This window comes from Homo sapiens, chromosome 15 (genome assembly GCF_000001405.40).
Source record: "Homo sapiens chromosome 15, GRCh38.p14 Primary Assembly".
NCBI lineage: Eukaryota > Metazoa > Chordata > Mammalia > Primates > Hominidae > Homo > Homo sapiens.
In genome coordinates, this window is record NC_000015.10 from 90821230 (window position 1) to 90837991 (window position 16762).

General features: G+C 51.3%; 2 annotated features.

Annotated features, from left to right (window-relative positions):
* Positions 4356 to 4955: an enhancer, noted in NCBI's record as "H3K27ac-H3K4me1 hESC enhancer chr15:91368815-91369414 (GRCh37/hg19 assembly coordinates)". NCBI's record gives its function as "activates a minimal SCP1, AML or CMV promoter by ChIP-STARR-seq in primed H9 embryonic stem cells {active_cell/tissue: H9 hESC(primed)}" and the evidence as "EXISTENCE:reporter gene assay evidence [ECO:0000049][PMID:30033119]".
* Positions 8861 to 8950: an enhancer, noted in NCBI's record as "active region_10090". NCBI's record gives its function as "activates an Ori minimal core promoter by ATAC-STARR-seq in GM12878 lymphoblastoid cells {active_cell/tissue: GM12878}" and the evidence as "EXISTENCE:reporter gene assay evidence [ECO:0000049][PMID:35858748]".

Genomic DNA, 16762 nt, shown 5'->3' on the forward strand with positions numbered 1-16762 from the left:
AACCTCCGCCTCCTGGGTTCAAGTGATTCTCCTGCCAGGTAGCTGGGATTACAGGCGTGCACCACCACATCTGGCTAATTTTTGTATTTTTAGTAGAGACAGGGTTTCACCATGGGGGCCAGGCTGGTCTCACACTCCCCACCTCAGGTGATCTGCCCGCCTCAGCCTCCCAAAGTGCTGGGATTACAGACGGGAGTCACCATGCCCAGCCTAGGTTTTCTTTTCCTTTCTGTTTTTTATTTTCGTTGCTGTTGTTGTTGTTTGAGATAGTCTTGCTCTGTGGCCCAAGCTGGAGTGCAATGGTGGGATTCTGGCTCACTGCAACCCCCGCCTCCTGGGTTCAAGCAATTCTCCTGCCTCAGCCTCTCGAGTAGCTGGGACTACAGGCGCGGGCCACCACACCCGGCTAATTTTTTGTATTTTTAGTAGAGATGGGTTTTCACCATGTTGGCCAGGCTGGTCTTGAACTCCTGACCTCTCAGGTGATCCACCCGCCTCGGCCTCCCCAAGTGCTGGGATTACAGGTGTGAGCCACCGTGCCTGGCCTAGGTTTTCTTTTGCTTGTGTACCAATGTTTTTGGCTGGTTGGCGTCTTGTTTGTGCTGAAATAGCAAGCCAGTTTTCCTCACTTTGGAGCTGCATTGTCTATCATGTGAAGATGTTCATAACCACCAGTGTCTGCTTCTAGCTCTTTCCTATCCTTTGTTTCTGGAGTTTACTTGTGTGTGAGGAAGGCTTTTGTGGGGACCAAGGTACATGGAGCAGTTGGGAGGTGAAAGTTTGTCACTGGGTCCTACCTGTGCAGAACGTCAGTCCCAGCCGAGAAAGCAAGGGCCAGGGCAGTAGTTCTCAAACTTGTGTTAGCCTCAGTCACCTGGAGAGCTGGTTGTGCCATGGCTTCCGATGCAGCAAGTCTGGAGTGCGCCCCAGAGGTGTGCATTTCCACCGGGTCTCCTGGTGGTCCCGATGCTGCCAGCCCCAGGTGAATACAAACCACAGCTGCCGAGAATTTTAGCACTGAGGTCTTGGGCAAGGCATTCTCCTCTCCTTCATCCTTGGTTTCCCATCTGCAAAAGTGAGGGAGTAGGGTGCAGTGGCTCACACCTGTAATCTCAGCACTTTGGGAGGCCAAGGTGGGAGGATCACCTGAGCCTAGGAGTCTGACACCAGCCTGGGCAACATAGCAAGACCCCGGTCTCTACAAAAAAATTTAAAAATTAGCCCAGCTGGTAATGTGCTTCTATAGTCCCAGCTACTCAGGAGGCTGAGGCAGGAGGATCTCTTGAGCCTGGGGAAGTTGAGGCTGCTGTGAGCCGTAAGCCATGACCATACCACTGCACGCCAGCTTGGGCAACAGAGTGAGACCCTGTCTCAAAAAAAAAAAGTGAGGGCATTAGACTCCGTGATGGCTGTCACCTCCATCCTCAAGTTGGACAAGACTGTCGGGGTGGGCTGGGGATCTGTGGGAGGGAGGGTGTTTGAGAATGTGGAAGTGGAACAGCCTTGCACGGGAGCTGTTTTCAGGAAAGGGACTCATGACAAAGCCAGGGTTCTAAGCCCCTTCCAACACCAAAGGGCCTCTTAGAGAGAGACTCAGAACTTAAAGGGAGACTCGGCAACCAGGAAGCAAGTAGCAAAGCATCACTCCAAGCAGGCATTTTGCAGTGTATGAGAGGCAAAGGAAACCTCCTTTAAAACTCTGGAAACAAGCATAAACTGATATTTCCCAGGCCCTGCCAGCCTGGGAGTCAAATGAGGTCATGTTACCACCCAAATCTGCCTGAGAACAGAGTCCTGTCTCCCTGCCGGGCCAGGCAAATGCCACTTCAAGATACAGTCCGTTGAGAACCCCTAGACTGGGACCTTAAGCTGCAACGTGTGATGAAGGCTTTCTAGAAAAATGCAATTGCAGGGTTGGTCTAGAGCCCGCTTTTCTTGCCTGGGCCCCAGCAGGATCCAGTGGCCTGAGCGGGGAACAGATTCAAGTCCCAGAACAGGATGGGGGACAGCCTCACCTACCAATTTCCTTTCCATTCTTTTTTTTTTTTTTTTTTTTTGGAGACAGGCTTTCGCTCTGTCACCCAGGCTGGAGTGCAATGGCGCGACCTTGGCTCACTGCAACCCCTGCCTCCTGGGTTCAAGCGATTCATGTACCTCAGCCTTCCAAGTAGCTGGGACTACAGGTGCCAGCCACCACGCCCAGCTAATTTTTGTATTTTTAGTAGCGACAGAGTTTCACCATGTTGGCCAGGCTGGTCTTGAACTCCTCACCTCAGGTGATCTGCCCGCCTCAGCATCCCAAAGTGCTGGGATTACAAGCATGAGCCACCATGCCAGGCCTGCAATTTCTTAGACTATTGAATGGCCCTGGAGTCAGATTGCTTGGGGTCAAAGGCCACTTTTACCACCTGCTGTGTGACCTTCAGCCCTTGAGCAAGTTATTTAACTTCTCTGTGCCTCAGGGAGCTCATAACAGCACTATACTGTGGGGTGGTGCCAGATCTGTCTCATAGACCCTGGCCAACGGATGAAATGAGTTCTCAGACACAGGCATACAGCATAAGAGCAGCTGGGTGACTGCCTGGCTCAAGTGGCCAGAGAGCAGCCCCAAGAAGCTGGAGCTGCTTGCTTTTATTCAGTGCAGGCACAATGTGGAAAACCTGGAGCCGACACGACCTGCAGGTAACTGACAATTACTGTGGCCAGGCACGGTGGCTCACGCCTCTAATCCCAGCACTTTGGAAGGTCAAGGCAGGTGGATCATGAGGTCAGGAGTTCAAGACCAGCCTGGCCAAGATGGTGAAACCCCGTCTCTACCAAAAATACAAAAATTAGCTGGGAGTGGTGGCACGCACCTGTAATCCCAGCTACTCGGGAGGCTGAGGCAGGAGAATTGCTTGAATCCTGCCGGGGTAGAGGTTGCAGTGAGCAGAGACAGTGATACTGCACTTAAGCCTGGGTGACAGAGTGAGACTCTATCTCAAAAAAAAAAAAAAGGTATTGTTCCCCTTTCAGGGAACCTCACACCCGCATGATCAAAGGTCAGTTCCTGGACAACATAAACAAACAAGCCTTTTAAGATAAATTCCCCCACACTCCCTTGTACCTACTCCTTGCCCTCTGCCTCAGGGTTATAGAACAGCTGCCTTCAGTTATTCTCCCCCAGGGCTCTGCAAAACCTTCTGACCTTTCGGAAGGTTTGCATCCTTTCCCTATAGTTTTTCCCACCACTCTGACAGATCCCCCACAGGGTCGACTGGGGGATTATGAAGACTAATAGGATAATGCCTGCTCAGCCCATAACGGAGTGTCTGGATCTCAGTGAAGGTTATTGTACTGTAATACGTAGACACTATATGTACTCATTGTTTGCCGCATATATTTGTGCAGAAGTTGATTGGTGAATAAACAGGACATCGTTTTCACTCAGTGGGTCTCAGCCATTCTCAAACTAATCCTTTTATGGAATCAGTCTCAAAAAAAGAAGCCTTCTTCAGGCATGGCTACACCCAGCTATCCAATCATAATGTAAGCATCCAGGTTTTGGAGCTCTAGAAATTGGCAGAACAGGTAGACAACACCCCATAATATAGGTCTCAATCCAGGCTCTAGGAACCCCTGGAAAATCCTGAAATAGATGTCAGAGGGTATCTAAACCCCTCAAGTGCATGTATTATTCTTGTGTGTCTCTGCAGATTTCTGGGAAAGGGACCACCATCTTTCTCAGGTTGTCAAAGGAGCCAGCAACCCCCGAAAGTTGTAAGATTCTGCCTCAGGGAAGATGATGCAGGCCTCAGCAGGTGCCCTCAACAGCACAGACACTCCCAGGGACACCCCGGGCACCCCAGGCACCAAAGCACTGGGGCAAAGATGAGAGTGGCTCACTCCACATCTCCTTTGCTGAGAGCCAAGCCCTCTCCAAAGCCAAGAGAAAACAACAAAATCGGACGGCAGTGCACACTCAGAAGCATGAAACCCTGGCGAGGAAGCATCATTACAATTAGCCGTGACGACAGGCTGCCTATGATCTTAGGACGCACAGTGGTTCTGCGTCATCACAGACAGCAAGGGGTTCAGGAGGCGGCCGGTCGGCAGCGGACAGGACATGGTGAGAGGTGACAGCGTGCTGGCAGCCCTTGCAGCCCTCGCTCGCTCTCGGTGCCTCCTCGGCCTTGGCGCCCACTCTGGCCGTGCTTGAGGAGCCCTTCAGCCCACCGCTGCACTGTGGGAGCCCCTTTCTGGGCTGGCCAAGGCCGGAGCCGGCTCCCTCAGCTTGCTGGGAGGTGTGGAGGGAGAGGTGCGGGCTGCGCGCGGCGCTTGCGGGCCAACGCAAGTTCCTGGTGGGCGTGGACTCGGCTGGCCCAGCACTCGGAGAGGCCGGCCGGCCAGCCCGCAAGCCCGGGGCAGTGAGGGGCTTAGCACCTGGGCCAGCATTTGCTGTGCTCGATTTCTCGCCAGGCCTTAGCTGCTTCCCCGCAGGGCAGGGCTTGGGACCTGCAGCCCGCCATGCCTGAGCCTCCTCCCCCTCCCCACCGTGGGCTCCTGCGAGGCCCGAGCCTCCCAGACGAGCGCTGCTCCCTGCTCCATGGCGCCCAGTCCCATTGACCGCCCAAGGGCTGAGGAGTGTGGGCGTACAGCGCGGGACTGGCAAGCAGCTCCACCTGAGGCCCCGTGGGGGATCCACTGGGTGAAGCCAGCTGGGCTCCTGAGTCTGGTGGGGACTTGGAGAATCTTTATGTCTAGCTAAGGGGTTGTAAATGCACCAATCAGCACTCTGTATCTAGCTGAAGGTTTGTAAACACACCAATCGGCACCCTCTGCCTAGCTCAGGGTTTGTGAATGCACCAGTCGGCACTCTGTATCTAGTTAATCTGGTGGGGACTTGGAGAATCTTTATGTCTAGCTAAGGGATTGTGAATGCACCAATTGGCACTCTGTATCTAGCTCAAGGTTTGTAAATGCACCAATCAGCACTCTATATCTAGCTCAGGGTTTGTAAATACACCAATGGACACTCTGTATCTAGCTAATCTAGTGGGGACGTGGAGAACTTTTGTGTCTAGCTCAGGGATTGTAAACGCACCAATCAGCACCCTGTCAAAACGGACCAATCAGCTCTCTGTAAAATGGACCAATCAGCAGGATGCGGGTGGGGCCAGATAAAAGAATAAAAGCGGGCTGCCGAAGCCAGCCGTGGTTGCCTTACACACTATGCAAGCTTTGCTGTTTGCAGTAAAACTGGCTGCTGCTTGCTCTTTGGGTCCACACTGACTTTATGAGCTGTAGCACTCACCATGAAGGTTTGTAGCTTTACTCTTGAAGCCAGTGAGATTAAAAACCCACCGGGAGGAACAAACAACTCCAGTACGCGCCGCCTTAGGAGCTGTAACACTCACGGCGAAGGTCTGCAGCTTCACTCCTGAGCCAGCCGCACCACGAACCTATCAGAAGGAAGAAACTCCGAACACATCCGAACGTCAGGAACAAACTCCGGCCACGCCGCCTTTAAGAACTGTAGAACTCGCTACAGCACTCACCGTGAAGGTCTGCGATTTCATTCTTGAAGTCAGTGAGACCAAGAACCCACCAAGTCCGGACACAATGGGACCTGTATGCAGTCTATGGGGCAGTTCAGACCAAAGGGCTGGGCGTGGCACCACAGCTGCCCCGAGCCCTTGGCCTCTCTGAGCTTTTCTCTCTCACCTGAGAAATGGGATTTCAAGGAAAATGAGTAGCGGTAACTTACCCACCTTACTCCACGGTTACTGTGAAGCGCCCAGAAGAGAAGCCATGGATGTGGGCGACGCATTCGAGGTTAGCTTCAGAAGCAGCGGGCGCTGGGTAGCCACATTGACACCCGGTACTAGCGCTTCCTCCTGGGGGTTCCTGGGTCCAAGGGGGTTGTGGCAGTCCTTGCCACAGAGATGCAGAGTCTGCAATGTCCAAATGTGCTTCGTGTGCAGTGGGAGCCTGGCAAGCTGTAACCCTTGTCGTGATTCACGCGTCCCAGGGACACTTGGGGGCCGCTGTGGGCAACCCCCCACACCCCGCTTTTGGTCAGGGCTGTGCCAGCAGAAGGCTGGGGCTGGACAATAGAGGGGATGTTGGGGCCGGGTGGGAGGCGGGAAAGGAGAAGGAGGGAAGTTTAGCAAGGAAAGAGCAGAAACGTCCCAGAGAAATTAAATTTCAGTTTTGTGGTGAACAGCTGGATCCTTTTTCCCATATCCTCACCAAAAAATTCCAATACTATCTTTGTCACCTTGTGTCATGGATCTATTTTGAGCTCTCTCGCGGTTCCTGAGCTCCTGTGTTTAGAGTGCACCAGGCTCTGCCTTCCGGGTTCAAGTCATTTTTTTTTTTGAGATGGAGTCTCGCTCTGTCGTCCCAGGCTGGAGTGCAGTGGCATGATATCGGCTCACTGCAACCTCCGCCTCCCGGGTTCAAGTGATTCTCCTGCCTCAGCCTCTCAAGTAGCTGGGATTACAGGTGCACGCCACCACGCCTGGCTGATTTTTGTATTTTTAGTAGAGGTGGGGGTTTCACTGTGTTGTCCAGGCTGGTCTCAAACTCCTGGCCTCAAATGATCCACCCAGCTAGGCCTCCTAAAGTGCTGGGATTACAGGTGTGAGCCACCGCGCCCGGCCTTGCGATTTTTGTATCTCAGCTCAGCTCTTCACACGAATTCATCCTCACAACCGCAGGGGATTCGGAGGGGTCCAGTAATTTTTCCCTTTTCACAGCCAAAGCAGCTGAATCACCAAGGCCATGAAACGAATGAGGATCTGCCTGATGTTCACCAGGCTGGCCCCTCCAGATCACTGCAAAGTGGGGCAAGATGAGAACAGCGCCAGGGGTTGATGACACCCAGGGCGCCCCAGCAGGACATCCTGGCCCAACTGCCCTCCAGGGTCCCGGTCAGAGGGCCAAGCTTTGCTGCTAGTCATGGCCCAAGTAGCCTGTAGCTTCTTCCCCGGATGGATGTGGGATCCTCCCAGAAAGGCCTGACCCGACCTAATCCCAGTCTCCCCACCTTTTCTGATACTGCTTCCTTACCTGGACCTCTCCACCCGCTGCCCGGCCCACACTCACCACTGGGCTCAGCTCTGCTGGGACACTGCTGCCTGGACCGTGCGTGGATGGGGGCGGGGCGGGGACGAGGGGAGGTGGAGAGGTCACTGCTCCTGGGAGGGCTGGGAGTGGCAGTGAGCCGTTGGTCTGGCCATTCTCCCTCCGTGAGGTTCAAGATCAAAAGTTCCCATGGGAAGGCCACAACCATTTCTTCTGTGAGGCCCGGAAATGATAATGGGTTCCTCATACTAAAAGACTTTCCTGGCCAGGTGCGGCGGCTCGCGCCTATAATCCCAGCACTTGGGGAGGCCGAGGCCGGCGGATCACTAGAGATCAGGAGTTAGAGACCAGCCTGGCCAACATGGTGAAACCTTATCTCTACTAAAAATACAAAATTAGCCGAGCGTGGTGGTACATGCCTGTAGTCCCAGCTACTCGAGAGGCTGAGGCACGCGAATTGCTTGAACCCAGGAAGTGGAGGTTGCAGCAAACCGAGATCATGCCACTGCACTCCAGCCTGGGGGACAGAGTGAACTCTGTCTCAAAAAAAAATATTAAAATTTAGCCTGGTGCAGTGGCTTATGCCTATAATCTCAGCACTTTGGGAGGCCGAGGTGGGCAGATCACGAGGTCAGGGGATCGAGAACATTCTTGCTAACATGGTGAAACCCTTTCTCTACTAAAAATAGAAAAAATTAGCAGGGTGTTGTGGCACATGCCTGTAGTCCCAGCTACTTGGGAAACTGAGGCAGGAGAATCACTTGAACCCAGAAGGTGGAGGTTGCAGTGAGCTGAGATTGCGCCACTGCACTCCAGCCTGGGCGACAGAGCAAGACTCCGTCTTAAAAAAAAAAAAATTAAAATTAAATTTTTAAGACCTTCCTGCTCCCTGAAGTGGGCCACCCTGATCCCAGCCCCCAGGTCTGGAGTCACCATTTCCAGTTCTTCAAACCTGCCTGTTGCCGACATGCTGGGTGACCTTGGGCAAGTCACTTCGCCTCTCTGTGCCTCGAGGCCTCACCAATAGAATGACCCTCACTGGAAGCTGATAATCAAGTCCGCCCACCCACTTGGACATTCCAGGACTGTTCAATTTCAGTGCCATATAGACTTACATAAGCAGGGCTGCATTTCTTTAATTTGAGTAAAATGCAAATGCTCCTGGTGGATGAGTCTGCACTTCTCAACCCCAAGCCTGCTCAGGTGCATCACTTGGGCGGGAGGGAGAGGTCCCACCCAGACCCACGGACCTCTGCTCTTGGGGTGGACAGGCCCTGGAGATTGGCATTTTGCAGAGCCTCCTGAGGAGGGGAGTTCAGACTTTAGAAGGCAGAATGAGGGGCGAACTCCCCAACCCCAATACCTGACCACATGCACAACAATGACAAATTTTTGGGAAAAGAGTGAGCCAACAGGCCAAGGTGGGTGGATCACCTGAGGTCAGGAATCCAAGACCATCCTGGCAAACATGGTGAAACCCCATCTCTACTAAAAATACAAAAATGAGCTGGCTGTGATGGTACGCTTGTGGTCCCAGCTACTCAGGAGGCTGAGGCAGGAGAATTGCTTGCACCCAGGAGGCGGAGGTTGCAGTGAGCCGAGATCTTGCCACTGCACTCCAGTCTGGGTGACAGAGTGAGAAGGGACCTCCAAGGCTATCGTGTTCAGCTGCTGGGGTGAGGAGTAGGGCAGAAGGCTGGGCACAGGATGTTTAGGGGATGACAGGACAGAGAAGACCTGTGGCCCCCAGCAGGGTGGCCTCAGCCGGGGGGACTTTCCCACCCACCTCTGCGCACTCAGGCTACCCAACTGAAAACAATGCAGCCTCAAAACTGCCCTTCTTCGGGGAAGACAGGAAGGTTCCCGTAGCAGAACAAGTAAAACGTCAGGAGTTAGCTAACCGAGCAAGATGAAAAAAACTTGCAACGCCTCCCTACACGCAAGTGCCAGGAAAGGGAAGGAAATCACACAGGGGCACAGCTGAAAGCCAGCAGAGCCAAGGACCTGAGTGGCTTTCTTGGAACTGATAGCTTCGCGCTAGACAAAAGTGAATGAGAATATGAACCAGGTATAAAAAGCACGAGCCGGGTGCAGTGGTGCGCGCCTGTCAGGCCCACCTGCTAGGGGGGCCAAGTGGGAGGATCACTTGAGCCCAGGGGTTTGAGACCAGCCTGGGCAACCTTGTGAAGCCCCATTTCTTAAAAAAAAAAAAAAAAGTTGAATGAAAAGAGCACAAAGAAGAGATGACAGGCCAGGCACGGTGGCTCACGCCTGTAATCCCAACACTTTGGGAGGCCAAGGCGGACAGATCACCTGAGGCCAGGAGTTTGAGACCATCCTGGCCAACATGGTGAAACCCTGTTTCTACTAAAAATACAAAAATTAGGCGGGTGTGGTGGCGGGCGCCTGTAATCCCAGCTACTCAGGAGGCTGAGGCAGGAGAATGGTGTGAACCCAGGAGGCAGAGGTTGCAGTGAGCCAAGATTGCACCACTGCACTCCAGCCTTGGTGACAGAGCGAGACTCTGTCTCAAAGAAAAGAAAAAAAGGAGAGATGACAAAAAAAATATATATATCAGGAAATGCAAAGAAACTGCAGAGGGGAGGAAACGCATTAACCAAAACAGGACCATGACACATCTAAAAACAGAGTTACAACATAGTACATGCATCTGAAAAGCAAGGGAATAGTGTGGGAGAGAAACTTGAAATAATTGCAGTGAATTTAGAGAAAAAGACAAATTAAAACAATTAGAGAGAAAATGACCATTATGGGTCCCAGACCTTCCAACATCAGGGTGACTGCACTCCCTGAAGTAGATTATCCAACAACTGAAACAAAAAGCTATTTAGAGAAAGTCTTCCTGAAACGAAGAACCAACTCTACAGACTGCGAGGGCATGACTACTCCAGGGAAGCAAATTCACAATGACCAACATAGGAACATACTGGCTGAGTTAGTGAACTTTTTTTTTTTTTTTTTTCAAGACAGAGTTTCGCTCTTGTTGCCAGGCTGGAGTGCAATGGCAAGATCTCAGCTCACCACCACCTCTGCCTCCCCGATTCAAGCGATTCTCCTGCCTCAGCCTCCCGAGTAGCTGGGATTACAAGCATGTGCCACCATGCCCAGCTATTTTTGTATTTTTAGCAGAGACAGGGTTTCTCCATGTTGGTCAGGCAGGTTTCGAACTCCCGACCTCAGGTGATCAGCCCGCCTCGGCCTCCCAAAGTGCTAGGATTACAGGCATGTGCCACTGCGCCCGGCCAAGTTACTGAACTTTAAGGATAAAGAAAAAACTCTTCAGGCACCTGGACAAAATGTCATTAAAGAATGGAATGGAAGGCCGGGTGTGGTGGCTTAAGCCTGTAATCCCAGCACTTTGGGAGGTTGAGGCGGGCAGATCACCTGAGGTCAGGAGTTCAAGACCAGCCTGACCAACATGGAGAAACCCCCTCTCTACTAAAAATGCAAAATTAGCCGGGCGTGGTGGCGCATGCCTGTAATCCTAGCTACTGAGGAGGCTGAGGCAGGAGAATCGCTTGAACCCCAGAGGCAGGGGTTGCCGTGAGCGGAGATCGCGCCATTGCACTCCAGCCTGGGCAAGAAGAGCAAAACTCCATCTCAAAAATAAATAAATACATTAAAAATAAAAATACAAAAATTATCCAGGCGTGGTGGTGCATGCCTGTAATTCCAGCTACTTGGGAGGCTGAGGCAGGAGAATCACTTGAACCCGGGAGGCAGAGGTTGCAGTGAACCAAGATCACACCACTGCACTCCAGGCTGGGCAACAAGAGCAAAACTCTGCTTCAAAAAAAAAAAAAAAAAAAAAGAATGGAATGGAATCTATTTCAATTTCATTATAAGGCTAAATGCTGATAGCCAGGCATGGTGGCTCATGCCTGTAATCCCAACATTTTGAGAGGCCAGGATGGGTGGATCACTTGAGCTCAGGAGTTTGAGACCAGCCTGGACAACATGGCGAAACTCTGTGTACAAAAATACAAAAATTAGCCAGGCATGATGGCCAGTGCCTGTAATCCCAGCTACTGGGGTGGTTGAGTAGGGAGAATCACTTGAATCCGGGAGGCAGAGGTTAGAGTAAGCTGAGATCACACCATTGCACTCCAGCCTGAGCGACAGAGCAAGACCCCATCTCAAAAAAAAAAAAAAAAAAAAGGCGGCCAGACATGGTGGCTCACGCCTATAATTCCAGCACTTTGGGAGGCTGAGGTGGGTGGATTACTGGAGGTCAGGAGTTCAAGACCAGCCTGGCCAACATGGTGAAACCCCATCTCTACTAAAAATACAAAATTAGCTGGGCGTGGTGGCGTGCGCCTGTAATCTCAGCTACTCAGGAGGCTGAAGCAAGAGAATCACTTGAACCCGGGAGGCAGAAGTTGCAGGCAGAAAGAGTGAAACTCCTTCTCAAAAAAGAAAAAAAAAAAGACTAAATACTGGGAGAATTATGGTTTTAAAGTAAAAGTGTTACAAACCTTGACAAAATCTGAGCGTGGTGGCTCACACCTGTAATCCCAGCACTTTGGGAGGCCAAGGCAGGTGGATCACCTGAGGTCAGGAGTTTGAGACCAGACTGAACCTGGGAGGCAGAGGTTGCAGTGAGCTGAGATCACGCCACTGCACTCCAGCCTGGGTGACAGAGCTAGACTCTGTCTCAAAAATAAATAAATAAAATAAAATAAAAATAAAAATAAATAAACCTTGACAAAGTAAAAATATCAGCATCAAAATCAGAGCTGGGGTGGGCAAGAGGAAGAGGGAGGATGTTTGAGGGGAGTGGTCGCCTTTTTTATCGCAAGAAATGACTGATCTTGCTCAAAGTGAAACATCTGAGTTTTTACCCCAAGACTCCAATGTCTTAATTAATTTCATAATCTTTTTTCTTAACCATGAGGAATTCATTATGAAGTAATAGCTCTTGTGGAAAGTAAATATTTATCTAAGATTCAGCAAGTTTTCTGGGTTTTTTTGCCTTTTTTTTTTTTTTTTTTCAGATACAGGGTCTCACTCTGTTGCCCAGATTGGAGTGCAGTGGCACAATCATGGCTCACTGCAGCTCTGAACTTCTGGGCTTAAGTGATCCTTCCGCCTCAGCCTCCTGAGTAGCTAGGATTACAGGCGGCACATGTTCCCACACCCAGCTAGTTTGTCTGTTTGTTTGTTTGTTTGTTTGTTTGTTTCGAGATGGAGTCTGGCTCTGTCACCCAGGCTGGAGTCCAGTGGCACAATCTCGGCTCACCGCAACCTCCGCCTCCCGGGTTCAAGCGATTCTTCTGCTTCAGCCTCCTGAGTAGCTGGGACTACAGGTGCGCACCACCATGCCCAGCTAATTTTTTGTATTTTTAGTGGAGACGGGGTTTCACCATATTGGCCAGGCTGGTCTCGAACTCCCGACCTCGTGATCTGCCTGGCTCGGCCTCCCAAAGTGCCGGGATTACAGGTGTGAACCACCACACGCAGCTGACACCCAGCTAGTTTTTAAAAATTTTTTTGTAGAGACAGGGGTCTCACTATGTTGCCCAGGCTGGTCTCAAGCTCCTGGGATCCTCTCACCTTGTTCTCCCAAAGTGCTGGGATTACAGGTGTGAACCATAGCACCTGATCTGCCTTTTTTTTTTTTTCTGTTAAACTCAAGTAAAATAGAATATATTTAGTTTAAAATAGAACTGGTACGGTGCAATCTAATCTAAAATTGTTTGGACTTACCTTTCTCTGAACTGCAGGGGCAGAAGGAGGGTGATCCCTTTTCTCCCCATGTAAAGGGTCATGACCGGCACCTCTATTACAAAAATCAAGTTAACAAGAGAAAAAAGAACAGGCTTATTACATGCACATGAGACATGCAAAATATGAACTCAAAGAGGGGCCAGAAGGTTGAGGAGAGGAAAAATGGAGAAATGAATAGGCTCAGTGCTCAGACAGTGGTTAGCAAATGACTGGGAGCTGAGTGGGACAAGTTATGGGAAGGTGAGGGCGGAACTGCAAAGGAACAAAAGTTGGATTTGTTTGTTTGTTTGTTCGTTCTGAGACAGAGTTTCACTCTTGTTGCCCAGGCTGGAGTGCAATGGTGCGATCTCGGCTCACTGCAACCTCCGCCTCCCAGGTTCAAGCAATTCTCTTGCCTCAGCCTCCCGAGTAGCTGGAACTACAGGCACGTGCCACCATTCTCGGCTAATTTTTTGTATTTTCAGTAGAGATGGGGTTTCACCATGTTGGCCAGGCTTGTCTCAAACACTCTTTACCTCAGGTGATCCACTCGCCTCGGCCTCCCAAAGTGCTGGGATTACAGGCATGAGCCACTGCGCCCGGCCGAGACAACCACAATTCTTTTATTGTTGTTGTTTTTTGAGATCGGAGTCTCCCTATGTTGCCTGGTCTGGTCTCAAACTCCTGGGCTCAAGTGATCCTCCAGTCTCAACCTCCTAAATAGCTGGGATTATAGGTGCATGCTGCTGTACCTGGTTTTGCAATTCTTTTGGAAAGAAACTTTCTTAGTCAGATAAGGAATTCCAGGAAGAGTCCCTCCCTCCACTCGGGGGTAGGGAGGGTACAAGACAAGGTTAGGCAGCTTTGCAGTCCTCAGCATGTCAGAGCCCCAGTCTGGGGTATCACTTTCTGAGCCCCAACCTTCCTATCCCTCTTCATCTCTCCAAACTTCTCTGTGTAGGTGGCATTCCCCAAGGTTAACACGAATAACGGGCTATAGTAAGCATGTACTGAGCACCAGAAGTTTTAGGTGCAGCAGAGAACAGAGCCGATGAAACCCCTGCCTTCATGAAGATATCATTCTTTTTCTTTCTTTCTTTCTTTTTTTTTTTTTGAGACGGAGTCTCACTCTGTCGCCCAGGCTGGAGTGCAGTGGCACGATCTCGGCTCATTGCAACCTCCACCTCCTGGGTTCAAGCAATTCTCTGCCTCAGCCTCCCGAGTAGCTGGGATTACAGGCACCCGCCACCACGCCCAGCTAATTTTTGTATTTTTAGTAGAGACGGGGTTTCACCATCTTGGCCAGGCTGGGCTTGAACTCCTGACCTTATGATCCACCCTCCTCAGCCTCCCAAAGTGCTGGGATTACAGGTGCAAGCCAATGCACCCGGCCTGAAGATATCATTCTAATGGGAGGAGTTTGTTACTTCCTTCTTTGTACTTTTCTGAATTGCTTGTTTTGTTTGAGAGTTAGCATATATCTTTTTTTTTTTTTTTTTTTGAGACAGAGTCTCTCTCTGTCGCCCAGGCTGGAGTGTGGTGGCATGATCTCGGCTCACTGCAACCTCCACCTCCCAGGTTCAAGCAATTCTCCTGCCTCAGGTGCCTGAGTAGCTGGGATTACAGGTGCACGCCACCACGCCTAGACAATTTTTTTGTGTGTGTATTTTTAGTAGAGACAGGGTTTCATCATGTTGGCCAGGCTGGTTTCAAACTCCTGACCTCAAGTGATCCACCTGCCTCGGTCTCCCAAAGTGCTAGGATTACAGGCGTGAGCCACTGCACCCAGCCAGCATACATCTTTTTTTTTCTTTTCCTGAGATGGACTCTTACTCTGTCGCCCAGGCTGGAGTGCAGTGGTGTGATCTTGGCTCACTGTAACCTCCGCCTCCTGGGTTCAAGCAATTCTCCTGCCTCAGCCTCCCAAGTAGCTGAGATTATAGGCACGCGCCACCATGCCTGGCTGATTTTTGCATTTTTAGTAGAGACAGCATGCGCCACCGTGCCAGGCCATATATCATTTTTATAAAAACAAAGGCCGGGCGCGGTGGCTCCTGCCTGTAATCCCAGCACTTTGGGAGGCCTAGGCAGGTGGATCACCTGAAGTCAGGAGTTTGAGACCAGCCTGACCAACGTGAGGAAACCCTGTCTCTACTAAAAATACAAAAATTAACCAGGCGTGGTGGTGGGCGCCTGTAATCCCAACTACTTGGGAAGCTGAGGCAGGAGAATCACTTGAACCCAGGAGGTGTAGGAGGTTGCAGTGAGCCGACATCATGCCATGGCACTCCAGCCTGGGTGATGGAACAAGATTCCATCTCAAAAAAAAAAAAAAAAAAGAAAAAAGAAAACAATTTACCTTCACACACACATAAAACACATCCACGGAGGATGATTCTTCTGAACAGCTGGAGTTGGGAAGCACTACATTTGAAGCTGGATGAGTCATTGACACTCTTGTGTAAACAGGGTTTTCAGGAAGACAGCGTGGGGACCCAGAGTCTCTGGAGGTCCCAGCTAAAGATAAGATTCCCTGCGGAGCAGCTGACCCTGGGAAGAGCTGAAAAGGGAAGCTGGTTCCCCTGGGTTTTTAGGCTCTCTTGGAAGGAACAACCATCCAGGCTATCTCATGAGGCGCTCTTGCCAGAGATGCTTGTCCCAGTCCTGATCCTAAGCCCCTGCCTCGTTGGCATTGGTGAGCCCCGTAAGCCCCATCCACTTCCTCCCCCTCATCACCCACCTATCTCTTAAGCAGGGCCCTGACTCCTGCCCCGTCCACTGTGCCCTCACTCTGGCCACACAGGCCTGCCCACTGCCTATTTTTTTTTTTTTTTTGAGACAGAGTCTCACCCTGTCACCTAGGCTGGAGTGCAGTGGCACGATCTCTGCTCACTGCAACCTCTGCCTCCCAAGTTCAAGTGATTCTCCTGCCTCAGCCTTCCGAGTAACTGGGACTATAGGTGTGTGCCACCATGCCTGGCTAATTTTTGTATTTTAGTACAGACGGGGCTTCACCATGTTGGCCATGCTGGTCTCGAACTCCTGACCTCAAGTGATCTGCCGCCTCGGCCTCACAGAATGCTGAGTTACAGGCGTGAGCCACCACACCCAGCCGACCACTGCTTGGCTTTTGCAGGTGCTTTTACCTCCACCAGAATCTCCTCCTCGCCCCTAGGCTTCGAGGCCTCCTTTTCTGGAAGGCTTCCGTGACAGTCCAGACCACCTGGCTCTGCCTTGTTCCAGTGACTCAGAGGCTCAGAGCCGGCGAAGCCTTGGGGCCTTGCACCCGGGAGGCAGGAAGGCACACGGGCCCTGCCTACTGGGTGACCTTGGCCAAGTCCTTTGCCCTGGATGACTCTCTTTCCTCATCGGAAAGATAGGGGCATCATGAGCTGCTTGATAGGAATCAAGAAGATAACGTGTGAAATGTTAGCTATTTTTAGTTTCAGGTTTGTTGGAAAGAATGACAATGAGACGAGCTTACAGGAAGGGGGAATGAAAGGGGGAAATCAAGTCAGTAAGGGAAGAATGTGATAAAAAGCTTAAATGGAAATTTAAAAAACCTAACTTTTCTGGGAGGACGGAGGCTCCTTGTGGAGCCAGTTGAGGGTCTGTGGGGGTCATGGGGGCACCGTCAGACACTGTGGGAGATGCTGGACAGGGCTGGGTCCAGGCCTCCAGGCCCAGTGGGACCTCCCTTCTCAGCCCCCTTCTCTCTTTTTTTTTCCTTTGAGACGGAGTCTCACTCTGTCACCCAGGCTGGAGTGCAATGGCACAATCTCGGCTCACTACAACCTCCACCTCCCAGGTTCAAGCGCTTCTCCTGCCTCAGCCTCCCAAATAGCCAGGACTACAGGCATGTGCCACCACGCCCGGCTAATTTTTGTATTTTTAGTAGAGATGGGGTTTCACCATGTTGGTCAGGCTGGTCTTGAACTCCTGACCTCAGGTGATCTGCCCGCCTCGG